Source organism: Homo sapiens, chromosome 1 (genome assembly GCF_000001405.40).
Source record: "Homo sapiens chromosome 1, GRCh38.p14 Primary Assembly".
Taxonomy (NCBI): Eukaryota; Metazoa; Chordata; class Mammalia; order Primates; family Hominidae; genus Homo; species Homo sapiens.
The window spans coordinates 152,694,581-152,719,351 of NC_000001.11; the positions used below are offsets into that span (position 1 = coordinate 152,694,581).

The 24,771-nt window shown below is 40.4% G+C and overlaps 2 protein-coding genes across 3 annotated transcripts; both read left to right on the forward strand.

Moving 5' to 3' along the window:
* The first annotated feature begins 3,764 nt into the window (after nucleotides 1-3,764).
* Nucleotides 3,765-4,862, forward strand: LCE2A (late cornified envelope 2A). Its single transcript, NM_178428.4, has 2 exons — nucleotides 3,765-3,814; nucleotides 4,302-4,862. Exon 2 carries the CDS (start codon nucleotides 4,322-4,324, stop codon nucleotides 4,640-4,642), a length of 321 nt encoding a protein of 106 aa, NP_848515.1. The 5' UTR covers nucleotides 3,765-3,814; nucleotides 4,302-4,321; the 3' UTR covers nucleotides 4,643-4,862.
* An 8,717-nt stretch (nucleotides 4,863-13,579) lies between these two features.
* Nucleotides 13,580-14,854, forward strand: LCE4A (late cornified envelope 4A). 2 transcript variants are annotated; one of them, NM_001387222.1, is made up of 2 exons: nucleotides 13,580-13,814; nucleotides 14,475-14,854. In NM_001387222.1, the coding sequence occupies exon 2, from the start codon at nucleotides 14,496-14,498 to the stop codon at nucleotides 14,793-14,795; it is 300 nt and encodes a 99-aa protein (NP_001374151.1). In that variant the 5' UTR covers nucleotides 13,580-13,814; nucleotides 14,475-14,495; the 3' UTR covers nucleotides 14,796-14,854. The 2 variants fall into 2 exon arrangements, with proteins under 2 accessions (NP_001374151.1, NP_848133.1); NM_178356.3 differs by lacking the exon at nucleotides 13,580-13,814 and having other exon boundaries at nucleotides 14,467-14,854.
* Nucleotides 14,855-24,771: the final 9,917 nt, after the last annotated feature.

Consider the following 24,771-nt stretch of genomic DNA (forward strand, 5'->3'; position numbering starts at 1 on the left):
AGACCAATACCCCTGATGAACATCGATGCAAAAATCCTCAATAAAATACTGGCAAACCAAACCCAGCAGCACATCAAAAAGCTTATCCACCATGATCAAGTGGGCTTCATCCCTGGGATGCAAGGCTGGTTCAACATACACAAATCAATAAACATAATTCAGCATATAAACAGAACCAACAACAAAAACCATATGATTATCTCAATAGATTCAGAAAAGGCCTTTGACAAAATTCAACAACACTTCATGCTAAAAACTCTCAATAAATTAGGTATCGATGGGACATATCTCAAAATAATCTAAGAGCTATCTATGACAAACCCACAGCCAATATAATACCTAATGGACAAAAACTGGAAGCATTCCCTTTGAAAACTGGCACAAGACAGGGATGCCCTCTCTCAACACTCCTATTCAACATAGTGTTGGAAGTTCTAGCCAGGGCAATCAGGCAGGAGAAGGAAATAAAGGGCATTCAGTTAGGAAAAGAGGAAGTCAAATTGTCCCTGTTTGCAGTTGACATGATTGTATATCTAGAAAACCCCATCATCTCAGCCCAAAATCTCCTTAAGCTGATAGGCAAGTTCAGCAAAGTCTCAAGATACAAAATCAATGTGCAAAAATCACAAGCATTCTTATACACCAATAACAGACAGCCAAATCATGAGTGAACTCCCATTCACAATTGCTTCAAAGGAATAAAATACCTAGGAATCCAACTTACAAGGGATGTGAAGGACCTCTTCAAGGAGAACTACAAATCACTGCTCAACGAAATAAAAGAGGATACAAACAAATGGAAGAACATTCCATGTTCATGGGTAGGAAGAATCAATATTGTGAAAATGGCCATACTGCCCAAGGTAATTTATAGATTCAATGCTATCCCCATCAAGCTACCATTGCCTTTCTTCACAGAATTGGGAAAAACTACTTTAAAGTTCATATAGAACCAAAAAAGAGCCCGCATTGCCAAGACAATCCTAAGCCAAAAGAACAAAGCTGGAGGCATCACACTATCTGACTTCAAACTCTACTACAAGGCTACAGTAACCAAAACAGCATGGTACTGGTACCAAAACAGAGATATAGACCAATGGAACAGAACACAGCCCTCAGAAATAATGCTGCATATCTACAACCATCTGACCCAGCATGCCTAGATATTCTTGATATTCTTTTCTCCTCTTTTATCTCTTTGGAAAATCATGGGAGATTCCAGGATACCCCACCAGTTTCTTCTGCTCAAAAGTTATAAATGGCTTCAGCAGGAATCTAGCCACTGGGCAATAGTTTCAGGGACCCAGTTCACTATGGAGTCAACTCTTGTTACGAAACTTGGTTCTCACCTCACCTCCAGGTCTGCTCTATGAGCTGGTGGCTTAGGACTGGGATTGTCTGTTTTCAGAGGGAAGGAGAGGTTGAAATGAGCTAAGAGATGTGTTTTACAACAAGAAACTATAAAATAACCTACTGCTTGCAGAAGCTGAAGGAGAGGGATGAGTGACATTGGTAAGGTCCCATGCCTGGTGAATAAGAGAGGAAATACCACAAAGAGAGAGCGTGTTTTGGAGATCAGGAGGTTTTGTGATAGAGTTAGTTTGAGGTCACAGCAAAAATATTTGCCTCTTAGAAGACATTTGGCAGGATCAAACTGCAGGTCAGTGACTTTCTAGGCAAAGCAGAGGTGGCTTAAAGGAAGTATTTTAAATAACTCCCAGGTAATTCTTCTAATAACATTTAATTTATTCATTCATCCATCTAATCAATAGTCTATGGTCAACTGCTAGACTCCCCAGGAAAAGAAACAATGGGTAAGACCTGATTCTGAGCTCATGCTCTGGTGACTTAATATCCGTGGACATAGAGCCAAGATTGTCTAGAATTCTTACTGGTGTCAAAGGCTGTAAGCCTGATCTCTAACAGTGACTGACCATATTTTATCATAAAAAATATGGAAGGACATTTTGTCTGCTGAGACTGGCTTCCTGTGAACGAGGCACATATCAGCTTTGGAGTCTTCTCTCCAACCCTTGGCCACGCTGCTGTGCTTGTCCCTGGACTTGCAAGCACACCTTCATGCCCATGCTGCCCACACACACATACACACACATTCATAAAGGCACAGCCCATCCCATTCTCTTCCTTCATGGTTACTATCATCTTTGTCAAGGAGAATGAGGAACCTAGCATGACATTCCCTCAGGCATTATCAGGTGATCCAGTGTCCCAACAATCTCATTGGAAAATAGACTCATTTGGTATGCACATAAATTTCACAGAGGTCTTCAGAATATCCACTGAATTGTGAATTCCTAGAGGTCACAAAACACACACAGTGTTTGCCTCTATAAACCTAAGTGTTTGGATAGAAAATCACTGAATACCTAGGAGCTGACAAAGCAGTATCTTCTTGATTAACTGCTATGTTTGGATATCAACATTTTTCACTCTTGACCTGAACACTCTCAAGGGTAGGGAACTACATCTGAGACTAGAAAAGAAAACTATTGGAGATGGGGCATCTCTTAGTATGACAGAAATGTAAAGACCATATACTCCTACCTTCTAGACCAAGGGTATATGAAAGAAGGGACTATCTTTTTCAAAAGCTGTATTCTAACTTATGCCATACAGTAGGTTTTCAGTAAATGTTGGATGGATGGATGAAATAAATTGATTAATGGATGAATGTATCTAATCCAAAATTGTATCAGATTCCTTACTCTCCTGTCATTCACTAAGAAGATTAAATAAATCATTTGATTCCCATCACCTTCTTGACAAGAAATAATTAGACTTCTCAAAATCCTGAATGTACACTGTACATTCCTAAGAGAGCCTTCGCTAGCCTACCTATATTTTTAAATAAAATTTTCAAAGACAGGGACTGAATATTGTCCATTTTTCTGTCTCACACACTGCCCTCGTTCTTTTAAAAAATGACATTGTTTAAGTGTCTTCCTTGTGCCTTATCATGTGCAAAAGCCTCACTTGATGGAACCAACAATTCAGAGAGGAAGGTGCTAATAGGCCTGTTTTACAGTTGAGGATTTAGATTGTCTATATATAGTCTTTGAGGTCACTGGGCTCATAAACACAGAGCTCTTCTGATTCCAATTCAAAAAACTATTGGCTTATTTTAAAAACTGCCTTGTTACACAGTAGACATTTTAATTTCTAAGTGAAGAAGTTTAGTCACAATGATCATCACCACCAAATCTGAGGAAACCATCTTGATTCACTTATTAATCCTCCTAGCAGGGTTCTGCAGGCCACACAGCAACATGGGGTCAGGAATGAGGGCTGAGCAGAAGGGGAGGAGTGTATCCTAGGAAGGAAATGGTCTCTGACTCAATGCCACAAAGAAACCTGCCTAGCTGTGGAAGCAGGGCTTGGAAAACTATACTTGGGGATGGGAAGAAGCTGGAATAGCATACTTCCACAGGAAAGCTATGGCAAGGATCTCTGGTGTTCTCAGAAGTCACTCTTTGAGCCTTTGTCCAGGCACAAGCTCCTTAAGAATCCCCTGGCAGCTCCACGGGGACCAGCCTGGGGGGGGCTGTGACTGGTTAAAGCTCCTTTAGACCCCCTTCCCAGAGGGAGGTCTTGGGAGCTCCCAGTGCTTCCTTGGATTGTAGGGACAAGGAGGCAGGGGAATGTGAGGAATGACCCAGCACGTGCCTGGTTGTGCAAGAGCCACTTCCCGCTCTTCCCAGAGCCAAGCCTGAGCCTATAAAAGACATATTCAGCTCCAGCACCTCATCTGCTCTGACTTCCCCAGGACGTGTCTGTGCTCCTGTGTGTGACCAGGGTGAGTGGCAACCTGGGAGCCAGAGGGCACAGGGGAATGGGAAGATTAAGGGAGGCTTCAGAGAGTTATTTCTTTGATTCTGTGCTATTATATGCAGAAAAGAGATACAGTCTGACTTGAGTTTCTGGAAATCTTGCCTTGGGCTGTGAGAAATGTGTATCTGACAGTTTCATCAAGGGCTTATTCTTATATTTCAAAAATGGATACTTTGTTGGGTATGAATACTTTATTCAAGCTCATGAAGATTAGAAAATACTGCCTATCTTCTAAAAGAATAAGAAGCTTCTTATTATATCTGATTTTCAAGTATATATTTTCATTCAGCAGGATTTGTTTTCTTTCACTTGTTGATATATATGTGTGTATGTGTATATATATACACACACTGAGTATTATTCACCATCACCATATGATTTAGTTTTAAAAGAGATAAAATTGCCATCCTTGGTTTTTCACAGCTAAAGGGTTTGACTATTTCGAATTTCAGGTTGAAAAAGTCGCACTGAGATGTCCTGCCAGCAAAACCAGCAGCAGTGCCAGCCCCCTCCCAAGTGCCCCCCAAAATGCCCACCCAAGTGTCCTCCAAAGTGCCGACCTCAGTGCCCAGCCCCATGCCCACCTCCAGTCTCTTCCTGCTGTGGTCCCAGCTCTGGGGGCTGCTGCGGCTCCAGCTCTGGGGGCTGCTGCAGCTCTGGGGGTGGCGGCTGCTGCCTGAGCCACCACAGGCCCCGTCTCTTCCACCGGCACCGGCACCAGAGCCCCGATTGTTGTGAGTGTGAACCTTCTGGGGGCTCTGGCTGCTGCCACAGCTCTGGGGACTGCTGCTGACCAGACCTCGAACATCACAGAGCAACCCTTATGGAGAAACTTGCAACCAGGACCTGTCCCAGAGTGATGCTTCTCCTGCCCCTTTTTCTCCTTTCCTTGGGCTGACACACCTTGTGAGGTGTTTTGTCTGTTGTCATGGCCCAAGAGCCCATCCTGGATCCTGATCTTACCTTCCCACTTTACCTCATACAACAATAAAGCTCTTTTGCCTCTTCGTGAAGTACCCTGGCCATTGTCAATTCTTCTATTCTTTTCAAATCCCTTAAAGTCCAGTGCCCCAGCCGTACACTTTTAAGGATGCTTTGGTAGGAGTGGAGTGTGAGAAAGAGGTATGCTGGAAGCAGTCTCCAGAGGGTCAATCCTGAAAGAGCAGCCTCACAGTAGGGCTTCTCAATGGGACTGCCTGTGTGCACTTGGAGACTGTGAGATGTGGACCCTCTCAGCCCAGGCAGGGGCCTGAAGGGACTGACAGCCCCAGGGCTGAGAACCGCTGGCCATGTGCTGCTTGCTCAGTTTAACTCACCATGCTGAATGTAACTTATTTTCATTTTCTCTTCATACCATGATGACAAAGCTAGAAAAATCTTTGGTACTCCAAGCAAAAAGGTATATTTAACAGAATTCTTTTCATCTGATTTAAAATGCTTGGTATGAGAATCAGAACCCTTAGGGGCAAGTTTAAATGACAACTCATTGCCACTTAACTACTCTCCAGGGAGGAAGAGTCTGTCCAGTTCTTGCTTTCTTTCATGTTCCAGCCTCTCCACGAAACAACTGTTAAATAAATACGTAAGCAGTGTAAGGCTGAAGGAACACCTCAGTATGGGCCTGCTCAGTTCCTGTGACTCAATCCATGGCTAAGTGAAGCAGAGTATGGAACAGGGGTCCGGGCCATGTCCCACTTTTATTGCTACGCCTGCCTCACTGCAAAGGATCAGGCCTGGAGGGTGTGAAGGAGAATTATGAGAAATACCACTCTCAAACAATATATATGAAACAAAACATAAACCAAAATAAACAAAAAAGAAAAACCACTCTTATGTAGCTGTAAAATAAGCTGCATGTAGCCCAGCCTGGGTCTAGCCCTCCTTAGGTTCAGGTCTCCTCAGCTCAGCACTCATATTAAAAGAATTTTAGGACGGAGAAGCAGCTTGTCTGGATGACTGGGGCTCTGTGCCTTGGGGAGGAAGTGTGAAGAAGAGTGAGGGCACCACTAGGGGAATTAAAAATAGTTAGTCTATCAGCAGACTGTGAGGTGCTTGCGGTGAGATGATGAGCTCAGTTTAGAGCAAGGCCCTGCTGAAAATGGGCTAATAAAGCATCCTGTCCCTTCTTCTGCATGATACGGATGGGTACCAATTAACATCTCCACTTGTGTTCTTCCACTCTAGTCCCTCCCTATCATGCTTTAGGCTTCTTTCTTTGCTCCTTTTTGTAATTATTGCAACTCCTATAGGTAATTATATGTCATTGTTAGTTTAATTTGAAATCTCATAGTACTAATTCTGAGTCTATGTTCATATATGTATTGCCCACACTTTTTCTTTTTTGTTTTTCTGCAAACTACATATTCATATACTCTGACTTATTTTTCACTATACTCCTTGTTTTTTTTTTTTTCTTCTGGTCTATCTTAAGTATTTTCCCTCTGCATTAGCCAGGGTTCTCCAAAGAAACAGAACCAATAGGAGATATCGGTCTCGACAGAAATATAGATATAGTTATAGATATAGGTAGAGATACAAATTTATGACAAGAAATTGGAAATGGATTTATGATTATGAAGGCTGAGAAATCTCAAGATCTGTAGTTGGAAAACTGGAAACCTAGAAGAGCTGATAGTTCTCATCTGAGTCTGAAGGCATGGAAACCAGGAGAGCTGATGGTGGAAATTGCAGTCTGAGCACATGAGAAGATCAATATCCCAGCACAGAGCCGTCAGGCAGAAGAAATTTCCTCTTACTCAGCCCTATTGTTCTATTCTGGTCATCAATTGATTGGATGAAGCCCACTCATATAGGGAAGAGTAATCTACTTTAATCGGTCTACAAATTCAAATGTTAATTTCATCCAAAAACATCCTCACAGAAACAGCCCGAGTAATGTTTGACCAAATGTCTGGGCACCTTATGGCCCAGTCAAGTCTCCATAAAATTAGCCAGCATACTTCTCCCCTTCCTCCTTATATTTTAATGAGCCATATTGGCTTATAGTAACATTGTTTGCTATAAGACATTTTAAATTTTCTTTTATCTTGAAAGTTTTAGACTTCTCGGTTAAGAGATTTTTTTTCATGTTCTTAAATTATACATGTAGTCTTCAAGACTTTCTGCTAAGGTTTTATTTGCTTGCTGTTTTACTTCCTAACTTGTTAGTATATTCATTTTTATTGTGAGATACAACCTATATACAAAAGAAAAAATAAAATATATTTATGTACTTTAAAAAGAAACACAAATAATACCAACCACAGTGAGGATAAGAAAGAGAAGACTGCTAGAACTCCAGAGGTGCCCCATGTTGCCCAATCACAAGACTCTTCTCCACCCCTGCCAAAGTAAGCATGTCACAATTTTTAATTTTCATTGTAGTTTTACCATCGATGTATGCTTCTCAGTTGAGTTTTTAAGCTTTATAAACAAGGAGTCACATTTTTATGTAATTTTTTTCTCTTTGTTCAATGTCCAGTTGAGAAGGTAAACACTACTGTATGTTGATCTGTACTTTATTCATTTTCATTATTGAATAGTTTATTACATTTTACAATGATACCAAAACATATTTGTCTATTCTACTGATGATGATGATTTAGTTTGTGTCTAGTTTTTGATGAATAATTCTAATTCTGTTACGAAAATTCTTGTATATGTCTTCTGGGACATATCTGGGAGGTTTTTATTTTTCCCCAGAAGTATGATTACTGGGTAGACATATTTTCAACTATCTGGATAACAACAAAATATTTTCCAGAGGGACTGCATTAATATTTATCCTGACCAGTATTGTATGATAATTTCTATTGCTCTGCATCTTCACCATTAGTGGTACTGGCACACCATTTTAATTTTGCTAATCGGATGAGTGTCAGTATCTATTATTATCTTTTTAATTTGCATTTTCTAAATTATTTGTGAAGTTGAGCACCTTTCATTGGCCATTTGAACCTCCCCTTTTGTTAGATTTATTTTCAAGCCCTTTGCTCACATTTCTATTATGTGTTTCTATTTTGTAAGGATGGGTAGGCATTTTATTTCTGTATTTTGGGTACCAGATTTTATTTGTTATGTGTAATGCAAATATCTTTTGCCACTCAGTGATTACTTTAGTTATTTAATGCCATTACATTTCCACTTGAGTTCATTTGTATAAAGTGTAGGGTTTAGCTCAAAATTTCTTTTTACCTGTTGATGTCCAATTGCTCCAACACCATTTGTTGAAAAAGATATTCTTCCATTTAATTTCTTTTGCACTTTTGTCAAAGATGAATTGAACATATTTGTGTAGGCCTATTTATGAGTTCTCTATTCCATTCCATTGATCTCTATGTCTGTTCCTACACCAGTACCATATTATCTTGGTTACTGTAGACCTAATATTGGGTAGAATTATTCTTATTTAGCAAGGCCATTTGATCTACTTTAGGGCCTATGCCTTTTAATATAAATTTTTAAACAAGTTTAATTTGAAAAAAAAAACTTTGCTGAGATTTTGTTGGGAATTGTATTAAACCTTTAGCTCAATTTCGTGAAAACTGACATCTTTATTGTTGTCTTCCAATCCTTGAACACAGTGTATCTTTCCATTTATTTAGATCTTCTCTGATTTCTTTCTCATTGTTTTGTGATTTTCAGTATACCAGTTCTGTCCATGTTTTGTTCAGTGTATACCTAAGCATTTAAAATTTTTTGGAAGGATTATAAATGGTATTAGACTTTTGGCATGTTCACTGTTAACCTGTAGAAATGTGCTTTGTTTACTTTTGTTGATCTTGTACTTTGCAACATTTTTTAACTCATTTATTAGTTCTAGAGTTTTTGGTTTTTCTTAGACTTCTTGAGATATGCCATCAGCAAATGGAGATAGTGAACACCTGACATTTTTGCCTTGTTTTCAATCTTGAGAGAAAGCATTGTTTTTCACATTTAAGTATGATGTTAGCTGTAGAATTTTTGTAGATAGTCTTTATTGATTGGAGCTAATTCCCCTCTATTTTTAACTTGCTAAGAGATTGTACTATGAATGAGTAATGAATTTTATCAAGTGTTTAACTGCACCAATTAATATGATTGCGTGATTTTTCTGTTTTAGCTTGTTGATATAATGGATTTCATAAATTTTCAAACGTTGATCCTGTTTTGCATACCTGAAATAAATCCCAGTTGATCATTATGTATAATTATTTTTACGTATTGTTGGACTAGATTTGCTGGTATTTTGTTGAAGATTTTAGTGTCTAAGTTTATAAGGCATACTGTAGTTTTCTTTAGTTTTGGACTGTATTTATCTGATTATAATATCAGAGAAATCATGGGCCTCATTAAATGAGTTGAGAATGTTCTGCCTACTTCTATTTTCTGAAAGAAATTGTGGAAATTTCTGAAAGAAAGTGTGGAAAAGAAATGTTAATTTTTAAATATGTTTGGTAGAATTCCCCAGTGAATCCATCTGGGCTTACACATTTTTTCAAGAGCTTTTAAGTAATAAATTCAATTTCTTGAATGGCTGTGGGACTATCTAGATGACTTATTTCATCTTAGCTAAGTTTTGGTAGTTTGTGGTTTTAGAGAAATTGGCTCATTTTTTCTAAGCTGTCGCATTTATGAGCAGAGAAGTGTTTGTAGCATTCTCTTAACTTTTTAATGGCTGCAGGATCTGTAGTGATACTGAACTTTTTATTCCTGGTATTGGTGATTTTTGTCTTCTCTCTTTTTATTTTTATGAACCTTCCTAGAGGTTCATAAATTTTATTTTTGGTTAATGAGCCTTATTGCATTAATTTCTTTTTTTATTTTCTAGTTTAAAATGAGGCTGATTTTTGTTTCATCTTTACTTTTTCTTCTACCTGTTTCAGGTGTATTTTGCTCTTCTTCTTGTATCTTGAGCCAGAGACTTAGATTATTGTTTTGTGGAATTTATTTGTTTCTAGTGAACACTTAGGGCTAAAAATTTCCCTCTTAACACTGCTTTGGCTGTTTCTCTGTCTTAGTTTTGGTTACAATAGCAAAGGATCATAGACTGGGCGGCTTAAACAACAAACATTTATTTCTTACAGTGCTGGAGGCTAGGAAGTTCATAATCAAAGTGATAGCAGATCCAGTGTCTGGTGAGGGCACTTCTTCCAGCTTGCAGATATCCACCTTCTCATTGCATATTCACATGGCCAGGGAAGAATTCTCTCCTGCTTCTTCTTATAAGGGCACTAATCCCATTCATGAAGGCTCCACCCTCATAATCTAATCACCTCCCAAAGGTCCCCCTCTTAATAACATCACATTGGGAACTAGAATTTCAATATGTGAGCTTTTTTTGTGAGGGACACATTCAGTCCATAAATAATCACATATTTATATATTATATATTTGTTTTTGTTCATTTCTAAGTATTTTTAAGAATTTTCTTTGAGACTTCCTCTTTAACTCATAGACTAGGAGTATATTATTTAATTTCCATATGTTTAGAGATTTGTTTTGTTTTCTTTCTTTATTGATTTCCATTTTGTATTAATAGAGAATTAAAAAGCTATTCCTTAGTAATTTTCAAACTAAGAGGAATTAAGAGTTTTAATACCAACTCAATGAACAAATAATTATCATTGTGTTAGCCTGTTCTGCATTGATATAAAGGAATACCTGAGGCTGGGTAATTTATAGAGAAAAGAGGTTTATTTGGCTCATGGTTTTGCAGGCTGCATAAGAAGCATGGTGCTGGCATCTGCTCCTGGTGAAGTCTCAGAAAGCTCCCACTCATGGTGGAAGGCAAAGGGGAAGCTGGCATATCACATGATGAGAGAAGGGAGTAAGGTGGGCAACGGTTGTCATACTCTTTAAAAAAACAGATATCCCATGAACCAGATCTCATTACCACTCATTACCTTGCAGAGAGCACCATTCATGAGGGATCTGACCCCATAACCCATCACCTCCCACCAGTCCCCACTTCCAACATTTGGAGTCACATTTCAACATGAGATTTGGAGGGGAAAAATATCCAAACCATATCAATTATCTTTACAAAATCTTACAAATCATATAAATGATTGGAAGATACAACATTTATACCACATCTAAACTCGAATTTCTCAAAAGAATGATAAACCAACATTAATTATAAACAAATACATGAAAGTCACAAACTAATGCTAAGTAATTAGATCAGCAGTATGAAAAAATATATTTTGTCCAATTACTGATTAAGCTAAGAATGTAAGATTTATCATTAGAAAATCTATTTCTTTATATTAACATATTAAGAGAGTGGAGCAATGACCAAAACTGATTAAATCTCAGCTTTCATGGAGCCTTCATTCTATTTGAAAAGGACGACTACAAATAGATAAATTGCAATGTGTTGACAGGTATGAAGTAAATAAGCAGAGTAGAGATGGAGAATAATGGTGTTTATGTTTTGTTTTCTATTGTAGTCAAGGTGGGTTGAGAGGTGGCATTTAAGCAGAGGGCTCAGTGAAATGAGAGAGTGGACGAATTTACTATTTAGATAAAGAGAATTCTTCCAGGTAGCTGGAAGAATAAGTGTAAAGGCTGTGAGTAACAAGTACGCTCGGTATATTAGAAGATTAGCAAGTGGGGCAGAGCTGCCAGAGCCTAGTGGTTGAGATAAAGTGAATTAGGCAATAATGTCCAAGTATGCAAGTAGGATTGGATGGGGCCTTGTACACCACAGTAAAGATATGGATTTTGTTCTAAGTGTGATGGAAGCACTGCTTTAGCTGCATCCCACAAGCTTTGATGGTCTGTGTTTTCATTTTTATTCAAATAAAACTATTTTCTAGTTTTTCTTATGACTTCCTCTTTGATTTATAGGTCTTTTAGGTAAAAATAATTTTAATACTATATTTTATTTAGGCTAGTATATCCATAATTTTGCATTTCAGCACGTAATCAATCTAAAATATTAGTGAGATATTTTACATTTAAAACAATTTTATGTCTTCAAACTCAGTGTCATGCTATGGCACATCTCAATTCAGACAAGTTATATTTCAAGGGCTTTATCATCTCATGTGGTTAGTGGCTACTGTATTGTGCAGAGTAGGGCTACACCAATAGCTTTCATCTCTGTTTGTGCAACACATTCAACTTGTGACCTTTTAAAAAACACCAATGCTGGGGCCCTATTCCCAGAAATTCTGAATTAATTTGTCTACAGTTGAGTCCTGGCATCTTTTGTTTTAGGACTGCCTACTAGGACCACTGGTGTCAACCCTGAAATTTTCCTTTAATCACACCGTGTTTCTCTTGTGTTGAGGTTCAGCATCACTATCTAACTTCTCAGGTGTTTCTGTTTCTCTCTCCAGTTCTACTCTGAGGTCCTGAGGACAGGAACAAGGTTAATTCATTGTATTTCTCACATAACTGAGGCAGTGCTGGTCACAGATTAAGAGCTCAATGTGGTAGGTTGTTGCTTGTTACCACATCCCTCTATAGCTGATGATTTGCTTGCCAGAAACACCATTAACATGGGGCACTGGATTGGGAGAGAGATGGAAAATGGGAGGACATTCCTACAATAATACTTGCCAGAAAATCTGCCTTCCACAACAATTCCGTTCCTGCTGTCTAATACTCATTTTCTGAGTTAGTAATAGCAGAAATTACTATAAAAGTAGGTAATTTCTGTCTTTACAGAGAGGAAATATAGGCTGGGGGTTTAGTCATCTTCCTTGTCATCATTATCAATGTCTTCATGTTCATTAATATCAGCTAACTTTTGTCATTGTTAGACATCTATTTTGCATAGTAGGTATTTCCAGAAGTACCTCGTGATTATATGTGTATATACGTATAACATATATGATATACATAAGGAGAAATAAATCAATCTTAATGGGTTGCATGAAGAGTTGTATCCTATATAAACCTTTTGAGAATTAGAGCAACACACACCAAATTTCTTTTTCTTGTTGGTTTAGAGTGTTTTGATGGGTAAAAGGGAAGAGTTTTTTCTATGATGGGAAAAATATTTTCCTCATAATGATCTTCTTATATGTTTGTTGAAGAAAAAAAATCAGTCCTTTTTTTAAAAAATGGTTGCAATAAATGCAACTTGTGTGTGTGTGTGTGTGTGTAGTTGACAGACAGATACTTCCACAAAAGGTTCCTGAATTGGTAAAAGTCTCAAGTCTCTGATCTGTGCTCATGAGCTACTTAAATGCAGCAGAATCACATACACAACACACAACAGAAAAACTCAGAAACTCCTACTCAAAAGGCCCCTTGATGGTGACACATTCCTTGGTAACCCAAATAGAAGTAGTCAAATATGATAGCCTTTGAATTCCAGGCTGAAGGGTTCATAGAAGAGAAATTCTAAAGAGAAGAGTGGCTGACCGAGGGGCATCTCTCTCCACAGTTAGGACTGGGGACTTGGCCTGGTCTAAAAGCATGGGAGATACTCTCTAAAAGAGTAAGGAGGCCTATGGCACCAAACCAGCCTCTCAGGATTGACTGACCTGGGAAAGGCCCAGAGCCTCTGGCTGAAATTTGGCTGGAATATGTTAGGGGCTAAATGTGGGGCAGTCTTGGAGCCTTTGGTGCCAAAGTTCTTCCTGAGGGACTGAGCAAAGCGTGTTCAGAGGGAGGCTTGAAAGGTAAGTACCCATAGCCTTAAACCCCTCTGTTTGCTGTACATTGAGACCTTAGCCTGGGAAAAGGGTCTGATTTACAGAAAGTCTCATATAGTCACCCCCTCTCCCACTAGTGCCGAAGAGGCTATCTGGGAAGCTCATCATCCAGCTCAGGAAGAGATGAAACCAGGAGGCAGGAGAATGTCAGGCATGACCCCACACTTGTGCAACAGCCACGTCCTGCTCCTGCCATTAGCATGGCTCATCCGAGGCCCAGCCCCAGGATCCATACAAAGTGTGTTCCTGCTGCTGGCTTCTCATCTGCTCTGCTTCCTAAGGGACGTATCTGTTGCTGCGTCTGAACCCACGGTGAGTGTTTCTATAGGAATCCAGAGGGGGACGCTAGCGGGATGAAGATGGAGATGGAGAGTAATTCTGGAAGTCGAACAGTGAAGCGTGGAGTAGGAGGAGGATGACATGGTGGACAAGGCCAGAAGGCCAGAAGTAGTAGTTGGCTCTGGACAAAGCAGGAACCAACCTGGGAAGGATTATCCCTGTGATCAGACAGGAAGATGATGAATGACCTGGGATTGCTACATCCCTACCAATGGTTGGCCTGCTGGTCCTAAGCCCATTGCTCTGAAGGAAGCTTTTCTCTAACCGTGCAGATCTCAAATTTATTATTATTTATTAAACAGATTTTCTACGAATTTCTGAATTCCATTTCTAGATAAATTCATGTGGGTAGAATTGCAATGTATTTAACATGTCTTTGAGATGGCATTCAAATTTTGCTGGCTTTATTAGCTCAGAAGTCACTTATTAACCACCTAACAAATACTAAGAATTTTTGAAAGCTCTAGGGGTACAAAAGTAATGAAGATATACTCTTTGTCTGAAAGAGGTTTCTATACATGTCCATATTTTAGATATTCCTCTTCATCACCTTGGGGGAGGATTTTAAAATAAAAAAAAATGTAATGGCTCTTGATATTAAGTTTCTGTATATGTTTCTATTTTGTCATTCAGGTTTATCGAAATCCCACCAAGATGTCCTGCCAGCAGAACCAACAGCAGTGCCAGCCCCCTCCCAAGTGTCCTATCCCCAAGTATCCCCCAAAATGTCCCTCAAAGTGTGCATCCTCATGCCCACCTCCAATCTCTTCCTGCTGTGGCTCCAGCTCTGGGGGCTGTGGTTGCTGCAGCTCTGAGGGAGGTGGCTGCTGCCTGAGCCACCACAGACACCATAGGTCCCACTGCCACAGACCCAAGAGCTCCAATTGCTATGGCAGTGGCAGTGGCCAGCAGTCTGGGGGTTCTGGCTGCTGCTCTGGAGGGGGCTGTTGCTGACCTGGACCAGGAGCAGCACCAAAGGAATTAGTGGGCGAAGGACCCATTGCAGCCTGGTGTTTTACCTCCTTCACTCTCTTGCCTTTCCTTTCTGTAGCCCCATCAATTGAATAAACATGCAGGTTTGCGTCTCATCAACTTCAGGCCTTGGATTTGCATTATTTTAGCTTTATGTCAATATTTATATTTCTCAGATTATTGAAAAATTTTCTGATGTGCTTTGCAACAGTAAATTTACTTTCAAGTAATTTTCTAGTCCCAGTTTGATGGTGGTTTTTATTCCACTTTTCTTCACTTTTACCTAAATCCCAATCCTTTTCCTAGATAGAAAGATAGATTTATAGCTTTTACTGAAATAGAGAAAAATCAACCAATTAAACTTTAATGAATTACTTATTTGTGTACACATACCTTCACGAAAATCTAAAATTCTGCAGTATTTGTGAAAACAATAAATAAGGATTGATTAGAATTCCAAGATAAACCTAACTTAAATTTAAAAAAAAATTAGTGGTGAAATAGCCAAGTCAGTAAAGTTGTTTGGACAGAAAAATCTAATTTACTTAAGTTAAAAAAATGTACTTACTGCTCCATACATTTTCTAAAGCAATATTCTCTTTCTCTCTGTCTCTCTCTCTCTGTGTGTGTGTGTGTGTGTGTGTGTGTGTGTGTGTGTGTGTGTGTGTGTGTTTAAAGGATTAATATTAAGAAAGCAGAATAGCATCACATCCACTTGGGAACCATGTAGAAAAGTGTAATAATTTTTGTAGCTGTTCTTATTAATTGTGTTGTGCACATGCAAGAGTCTGGTTAAATAAAGTTCTATTGAAACCCAGGTTTCTTTCTTTAAGAAGCCTATTTACAGTATCCAAAAGTCAGAATTGGAATTCAATGAAGTACTATTTCCCTTGTCCTCTCCACTGTGTCCCAAAGGTAAGGAGCCTCTTGTTACAGAGCTCTGCTGACTTAGGACTTTCTCTGAGGCAGACACATTGGTAATGGTAGGTCACAAGTTGCAGACCTGTCTTAGCCTTGTGGTCATGCAGGAAGTTCAAACAATTTCATTGGGAGAAAGTGCAGACTGAGGTGGGCACTAGCATGCACCCTTGGGCCTTTGCAGACTGCTGTTGAAATAAACTTGGTTTGTTGTTGTTCCTGCTGTTGTTCTTGCACTTACTACTAATTGAAATTACATATTTATTTCCCTTTGATTGTTAAATGCCTCTCACCTTATCCCTGAAGAAGATTATACTATAAACTATTTATTATATGTAATGTATATAATGTATGTGCTTCAGGATGTCAGTGTCTGGTCATGAAAACAGAGACCATTCTAGCCACATTCTAGCTAGTTTAAACACAGAAAGATTTAATGCAGGGAATTTGTTAGAAAAGTCTTGGAGGGGCTGAATAAGTAAAAGTGGTACTTAGGGATTACCCAGAGATCTGGAAGAATTTGGGGCAGGACGTAGGACTTGCCAAATGGCTGTGCTGGCTCAGGAGAGCACTGGAAACAAAACTGTCATCCTTGCTGTACTGTCACAGAGAGCACCCACGTGTGACAGCTCCAAGATCACTCTTTGAAATTCTGGTCCACTAGTCCCCAGAATGATGTATTAGGATGGGGGAAAGGGTGGAGGCTGGTGGCTTTGGAAGTCAGGGGCTGGTGTGGCAGGTCACAGGCTTTCTGGGACATAGCCCATCTGAAGTGAAGGAAGAGCCCTGTTCCTCACCCTGTTCCCCTGCTCTGGTCGCTGTTCAGAACCAAATGCAACTGTAATGACTACATATGGTTGATGGGGGATAAGAAATAGCAATACCAGCAAAACTAACAAACATTCAGTTAGCATTTACTCATGTTAGGCATAAGCTTTATCTCACATCAACATTTGCTTGGACTGTTTATTCTAAAGATATTTATTAAGTGCCTACTATGTATCAAGTGCAGTTTTAAGAATAGACTTGTGAACAAAACAGCCAAAAATTTCTTCCCCATTAAACTTATTCTAAGAAAAGAAAGCAGGTGACAAACAAAATGAATAAGAAAAATATGTATTATTCACGCAACCGACAAATATGTTTTGAGTGCACCAAGCACTATGTATAGTAAGGCACTGTGGACAGAGCAGTGAACAAAAGCAATGAAAGTTCTCAGCCAATAGGGTTCACATTCTGATGGGACAAAATGAAAAATACATGCATACATAAAATATATAAGTATTAGATGAGGATAAACTCTAAGGAGAGAAATAAGCTTGGAAGAGGGACAGGGAGGGCAAGTAGGTATGGATTATAATGCTAAATGAGGTCACCAGTGAAGCCTTCACAAGAGCCACATTTGAGCAAAGACTAGAGTGAGAAAGTCAGCCACGTGGGCATCTGGGGAAACACTGTGGGTAGAGAAAAAGCAACAGCAAAGGGCCTGCAGTGGGAGTGTGCCTGAGCATCAGACAAACTGCAAGCAGACTGGTGTAGGGTCAGAGTGAGGGGAGAGGATAGGACATGAGATCAGTGAAGTACAGAGTGTAGGGTCCAGTCTGTGCATCCCTTTTGAAAACCTTTGTAAGGACTTTGGCTTTTACCATGAGCAGAATGAGAAGTCATTTGAATATTTCTGAGCAGAGGAATGACATGCTCTGACTATTAATGTCTTCATTTTTATAGATGAGAAAACAGCTTCAGAATGTATAGCTAATTATCTAAGGTCACACATCTAGGAATTGGCAGAGCTATGACTAGGACTGGGACTGTCTGAAAGGAGATGTGAAAAGTTCAGCTGGCTCTTTGGGTGAAGGTCTTGAAGAGGTTGGAATAAAGGTCAGAACAGGCCATTTGCACAGAGAGGATGGATAAAATAGTTAAGAGGGGTCGAAGAGGGGACATAATCCAGTGGGTTCTATCTGTAAAAGTTTTCTGTATCCCTTTACATCTTGAAATGAAAAGATGGAGAGACAACTTCCATTGAAAATCTGGGAGGGGGTTGTAAGATCAAATGCAATGAAACAGTTCTACAACGCTGTAAGTAAATCTGAGGGACTAGTTACCCAGTATATGTTATAAGGGAATAAATGGGTTAGGGAAAGGGTGGTGGGCGTTCCAGGAAACCAGCACTAGTGGGCCATTCCAGGAGAAAGAGAAGTATCTGGACATTGATATTCACTGACCTCTGTGATCAAGAGGGCTTCAGTGCTGTCTTGCCGTGTCCCCAGCACAAACAGCCCATGTGACTCTGAGCTAGGTGGGGCTTGCATTCTCATGTTTGGATGACCCACATATGTGCACACAGTGGGAGTCTTATATGACTTTTCCCCTCCATATGTGAAAACCCTCTCTGCTCCATAGAGGATGTCCTTTACAAGATGTTCCTTGGCTTTTCTTGTGGTAGTCTGGGTGGAAGTGGTGAGTGGGAATGGAGGTAAGGAGGGAGACAGGTGAGGGAACTCCCTAGCAAGCCAGCTTAGTGTTCACGTGTGGTTACAGAACATGTCCTAGATCAGATTGAGAAATTCCTGTCTAGAGTCAGCTCCTGCCTGGCTGTGTGACCTCAAACAAGTTTCTTCCCTTCTCTGTGGGCCTCAGTTACAATATAGGGGCTGCCCTCTGTCCTTCATTCTGTGGTTCTACAACAGAATCTCCTGATAGTCTAGGAGGAACCCCCAATTATCACAGGAATATCGCAGGGGATCTCTGGTGCAAGCCTTGGGGCTAGGCCTGAAACAGACATACATAGACATAAAATCTAAGAGTGGAGATCACTGATCTCAGACACAGTAGAGAGATTTCTCACCGCGTACCAACATTCCTGTGCCCTCCCTCTCTTCAGTGTGTGGCTTCTCATTTCTTCCTACTTCTTGTCCCCAGAAGGGAAGGGACCCAGATTTGGCCTTTAGATTGTCCCCAGTCCCTGATCAGGAAAAGTTCCTAGGATGAGAGGAGACCCAGAACATGATGTCGGAGAGCAACATGTCTTTTTGGGCACCTCCCTATTTAATCCCCTGATCTGGGTTAAAATCTGAGTCTGGTTCCCACACTAAGGGGCCAAGCTTCAAATGTATAGTGAATGTTAGGATTCATGGATGTTGGTGCTGTAAGGGATCTGAGAGATAATCTAGTATACAGTTCCTGACTATCCTGATGGTAAATCCCAAAACAAGCTAACCAGGGGCACTACAGAGGACTTGTATTATTTTATTTTATTTTATTTTCTAGAGACAGGGTCTCCGGTGCAGTGGCATGATCATAGCTCACCGCAGCCTTGAACTCATGGGCTCAAGCAATCTTCTTGCCTCAGCCTCTGGAGTAACTAGAATTACACGAGCCACTGTACCTACCTTACAGAGAACTTTTAAAGATTAGCAGATCTTTCTAGGAATAGCAGCCTATTAGGCTGTATGACACAGGTATTCAATTGCATTCTGGCAGGGGCCAGACCCCATGACCTATTTTAGTACTTTCTGCCTTGGAGATAATTCTCTCCGCCTACTTCTCTGGACTAGTTTTCCATGAATCCACAAGTCTCTGATTCTATCAGCTTGCATCCAAAGAGATAAATGTAAGGGAGTTTCTGGGAGCAGATTTTTGGGATAACCCTGTGAGTCATCCTGGCACTTGCACCAGTTATCTGACTTCTCCATGCCTTGCCTTCCCAGCCTATACAGTGGGTGGGGCACAACCCACCCACCTGTTTTGGTGGCACATAGATAAGGTGTCTCTCACCAGGTATGCTAGTACTGCTTGCAGATGTCAAACCCATTAGTTAGAGCTTGACTCCATACAGCAGGAAGTGAGCCAATCAGAGCTCACAGATGGCATGAGATGCACAGATTGGCTAAAGACAGAACAGCACTGACCACATGGAGGAAGGAGGTCAGTCTGGGCTGTGCTGTCAATGTAAAGCACCCCCATTCATTCATTCACTCATGCATTTGTTTAGTCAATGTTTCCCAGGTCCTATGATGATATATGGTGAATATGTCCACAGTTAACAATTCTTGAAAATCATAGTCTCGTGGGAATAACTCCATGGAAGGCTAGGTTGTGGAAGTATACATTTCCCTTGTAGAACAGGCTCCTACAACCACAGAATATCATAGCCAGAAGGGGTCTCATCTAGCCTCTTTGCTTTAGATTGGAAGAGAAAAGGCCTAGAGACACCAGGGCACTGTGGAATCACAGGGTGGGGTGGTGGCACAATTAGGATAAGGGTCCAGGTCTTTCTATTTGTGCCTTGAAATGTCTGTCTCCAGTTTTGTTGGCACATCTTAAAATGGCTGGTCTCCTAGGGCATTTTCTTCTCTGTAAAATGGGGATATCCCATCCTACATATAATGCAGAAGGCTTCTTAATGACTGCTTATAGGTTGGGTGACTGAAAGGTATGGTTCCTGAAGCATCATGGATTGTAACACCAGAAGCAGCATGCTTTGGTAGAAAAACAAAATTTGAAGACTCTTTTACCTGGGTTCAAATTCTGGCTCTATCACTTCTAACTGTGTGAGCTTGGACAAGTTATTTTTTGTTTGGAACACTATCGTGAGAACCAAATTTGATGAGCTACCCCGTGTGGTGTCTAACCCCAAAAAGAGATGGTTCCTTTTCCTTTTACTTCATAAAACATCAGGTCTGGGTATGCACTGAGGAGGGACACTTAGGAGAGCAGAAGTGGAATGGCCTGGAACCACATCCCTCCTCATTTACCCCTCCCTTTGGGGAGAGGGAATGACTGGTGAGCTTCATGGTGGAAGCTGTGCAGTAAGACAAGCCCTTCAGAGGCAGGAATGGCAGGAGGAAGCAGGACACCATGCCTGAGGACTCCAAGCCAGGACACCAAGCCTGAGGCAGAGTCTCCCATCTTGCTTCTTCCAAAATGTTCAAGAGCAGACAGGCATCACACTACCTGACTTTAAAATATACTACAAAGCTATAGTAACTGAAACAGCATGGTACTGGCATAAAAACAGACACATAGACCAATGGAACAGAATAGGGAACCCAGAAATTAATCCATATATTTGCTATCAACTGATCTTTGACAAAGGTGCCAAGAACACACAATAGGGAAAGGAAAGTCTCTTGAATATGTGGTACTGAAAAAACTGGGTATCCTCATGAAGAAGAATGAAATAAGATGCTTATCTCACACTGTATACAAACATCAACTGAAAAATGAATTCAAAATGTAAATTTAAGATTCAAAACTATGAAACTACTAGGAAAAAAACAGGGGAAAAGCTCCATGACATTGGTCTGGGCAAGGATTTTTTGAATATGACCTCAAAAACATAGACAACAAAAGCAGAAACTGACAAATAAGATTAAATCAAGTTAAAATGCTTCTGTACAGAAAAGGAAATAAGCAACAGAGTAAAGAGACAACCTACAAAATCAGAAAACATTTGCAAACTATACATCTGATAAGGAGTTAATATCCAAAATATATAAGGAACTCAAACAACCCAATAGAAAGAACACAAATATCCCAATTAAAAATGGGCAGAGAATCTGAATATACATTTCTCAAAAGAAGACGTACAAATGGCCAACATGTCTAGAAAAAAATGCTCAATATCACTAATCACCAGGGAAATGCAAATCAAAACCACAATGAAATAACACCTCACTCCTGTAATAATGGCTATTATCAAAAAACAAACAAATGAAAATAATGACAAAGATGTAGAGAAAAGGGAACTTATACACCATTGGCGAGAATGTAAGTTAGTGCAGCCATTATGAGAAACAGTATAGAGGTGTCTCAAGAAACTGCAAATGGAACTATCACATTATCCAGCAATCTAACTACTAGGTATTTGTCCAAATGAAAGAAAATTAGTATATCAAAGGGATAACTGTATTCCCATGTTTATTGCAGTGCTATTTACAATAAATAGCAAAGACACAGAATCAACCTAAGTGTCCATCAGTGAATAAATGAATAAAGAAAATGGAGTATGAACACAGAATGGAATACTATCCAGCCATAAAAAGGAATGAAATCCTGTCATTTCCAGCAACATGGATGGAACTGGAGGTCATTATGTTAAGTGAAATTAGGAAGATAAAAGATAACATGTTGCCAAGGATGTGGAGAAAATAAAATCTAACACACCATTGGTGGGAATGCAATTTAGTACAACCATGTGGAAAACAGTATGGAGGGTCTTCAAAAATTAAAAATAGAACTGGCATATAATCCATCAATCACACTAGTAGGTATATATCCAAAGATATTGAAGTCAGTAATATTGAAGAGATATCTGCATTCCCACATTTATTGCAGCACTATTCACAATAGGCAATAAAAGGAATCAACCTAAGTGTAAATCAAAGGATAAATGGATGTTTAAAAATGCTATATATACACAAAGAATACTATTCAGTCACAAAAAGAAGGAAATCCTGTCATTTGTGAGAAGGTGAATGAACCGGGAAGATATTATGCTAAGCAAAATAAGCCAGGCATAGATAGACATACTGCATGATCTAATTTATATGTGGAATCTAGAAATGTTGATCTCATGGAAATAGAGAGCAGAGTGCTGGTTACGAGAGATTGGGGTGGCTGGTAGGTGGGGTTGGGGAGATATTTAAAGTATTCAGGGGAAGACTTCGCAGGACCTGGCTTGACATGGGAGAGGGGCTGTGAATTAGTGGGTCTTTGCATCCTCTTTGTTTAGGAAATGTAGAAGCCTTAAAGCTTATGGGTCCTGGGAAATGTGGGGATCTATTATGTACAAATACAGTAGAACAATTTACCTGAGAGGCCGTAGGGGCCACGGTGGAGCCTGCACTGGTTTATCTAAGGAATTGACATTTGGACCAGTGCTAGGCTTAGGCTCAAGACAACTTTCTTCAGTGGGCGACCCAATATAGCTCAGTGGGGGTAGCATGGGCTCTGGAGCTGGATAGGCTTGGGTTGCAATGTCACTCCATTACCTACTGATGGGATGACCTTGGAAAAGTGGACCTCTGGGTCTCAGTTTTCTCTTGTGTAAAATTGGGGCTAATGAAGCCTGTCTCATAGAGTTATTTCAAAATCAAATGAAATAACACAGGCAAAGAGCCTAGGACAGTATCCACCACATAGTAAGTGCTCAGTAGATAATATTCCCACCTCTCTTTCTACATCTTCTGCATTGTGGAAAAGAAAACAGGCAGGGATTCAAGGACAATGCCATGTTCAGAAATAAAAGGCAACATATTGTAGTAATAAAGATCATGATCTATGAAAGCAGACTCCTGCATCTGAGGCCTAGCTTCCTTACTTACCTGCTTTGTGATGAGGGTAACTCCCTTAAACTTTCAGGGCCTCAGTTGTGTCCATTTGTAAATGTACTGCCTCATGAATTGTTATATATAAAGTATTCAAATAAACTTTAGATTCTATTATTATTGTTGTTGTTGTTATCACACAGTGCTCATCTGGCTGGAATTTTCCCTGCTCAGCGTTCTTTGGAATTGAAGCCTGGTAGTGAGGTCCTGAAAGGTAAGAATGGGGGAGCCTAAGGGGCATGAGAAGGCTGAGGGGAGGCAGTCTAGACTCCAGCCTGGGGCCTAGGATCATTAAGCACCCACCCAGTTTCCAAATGAACCTAGAATAACCTGATGTTCCATGAAACAAACCATTTTTTGGAGGTCTTGTGTCATATTGGGCCAGAGACCACTGGGCCAAACTGTGCTCAGCAACCTAGACCAGCAGAAGTTACCTTGGAAGCCCACAGAACACTCATTTAGGCTGAGTGAAGTGAGGTGAATCTATAGTTAAATTCTCAATTTTTCATACACTGTGCCAAAAGCTACACTTAGCTTTAGATTAGATTCTCAATTTTAGTTTGATTCTCTGAGCTACACTTAGCTTTTGGCACAGTGTATGAAAAATTGAGAATCTAACTATAACTTGGATAAGTCCTGAAGACTCAAGTGACCTGGAAACAGCTTCATTAGAGACAGATCACATAGGCATCACTCATAACTTATAGGAAAAGGAGACTGACTTGTTTCCTGAGGAAGGGAACAGGAATCATTTATCTAGTGTTTGGGAAAACCCAATGTCAAGCACAGACATGCCCTGCCTCTGACTGAGGAGCCAGGCATACTGGGGAGGAATCTTGCCAATGCAACACCATCCCTTCTCCTTGTGATCTCTGGTGCTTCATTTAGATGCCATTAAATTGCCTCATTGCTGCCCTATAAAAGGTCTCCCCACCTGCTAGTTTTTCAGATCACTGACTTCTTCCAGTCTTGCTCCTATCAGCAAAGAGGGTAAGTCTCTATACGGGATAAGGACATGGTGAGAAACAGAGCTTTGGGGAAGCTGGGGTGGGATGAGAGCTGTGGGATGAAGGGTGAGCGAGGACTAGATGCTTAGGAAATCTGCTGAAGGAGGCTGAAAGCAATGCTGGTGGGAAACTTGGAGCCTGGGGCATGAGAGGAGAGGGAGGGGGACACGATGAGCTGGCATTCCTGTTTAAGAAGGGACTTTAGAGAACTGGCTCCCCATCCCCTTATCTGAATGCAATTGTGCAGTCCTCTCTTGGGTCTATGTGCTAATGAGGCCAACTGATTAGTCCAGCTGGTTCAAGGAGCACCTGGTAGAAACCTGCTCAAATTTAGCCTTGTTCTTTGCTCAGTACCGGGCACAGCTTGAGGCTCATGTTGGCTCAGGGTCCATGGACATAAATTTGTCTTTGCTGGGTATTCCTTGTCTGGGCAGAAGGAAGAAGGGAAGTCACCCTGGAGAGAACTGGTGGCAGGGGTCAATCATCTGGGAGCAGCAATTTCCAAAGGGTAATTCACAATGCAGACACTGAAGAAAGAGGAGAGGAGGCTTGGAGAGTTGGGTAGAAACACAGGCAGCACCATTTCAAGCCTCCATTTCCCAATATAGAGACTGAGGCCCAGAGGTAAGCGATGACTTGTACCAAGCCACATAGCCAGGTACAGGCACAGAAGCTGAGCTGAGAGTCCCTGGCTCTGAA

Excerpts from the sequence above, each read along its gene's own strand:
- LCE4A (NM_001387222.1), top strand. The coding sequence starts at position 14,496 with ATGTCCTGCCAGCAGAACCAACAGCAGTGCCAGCCCCCTCCCAAGTGT.
- LCE2A (NM_178428.4), top strand. The coding sequence starts at position 4,322 with ATGTCCTGCCAGCAAAACCAGCAGCAGTGCCAGCCCCCTCCCAAGTGC.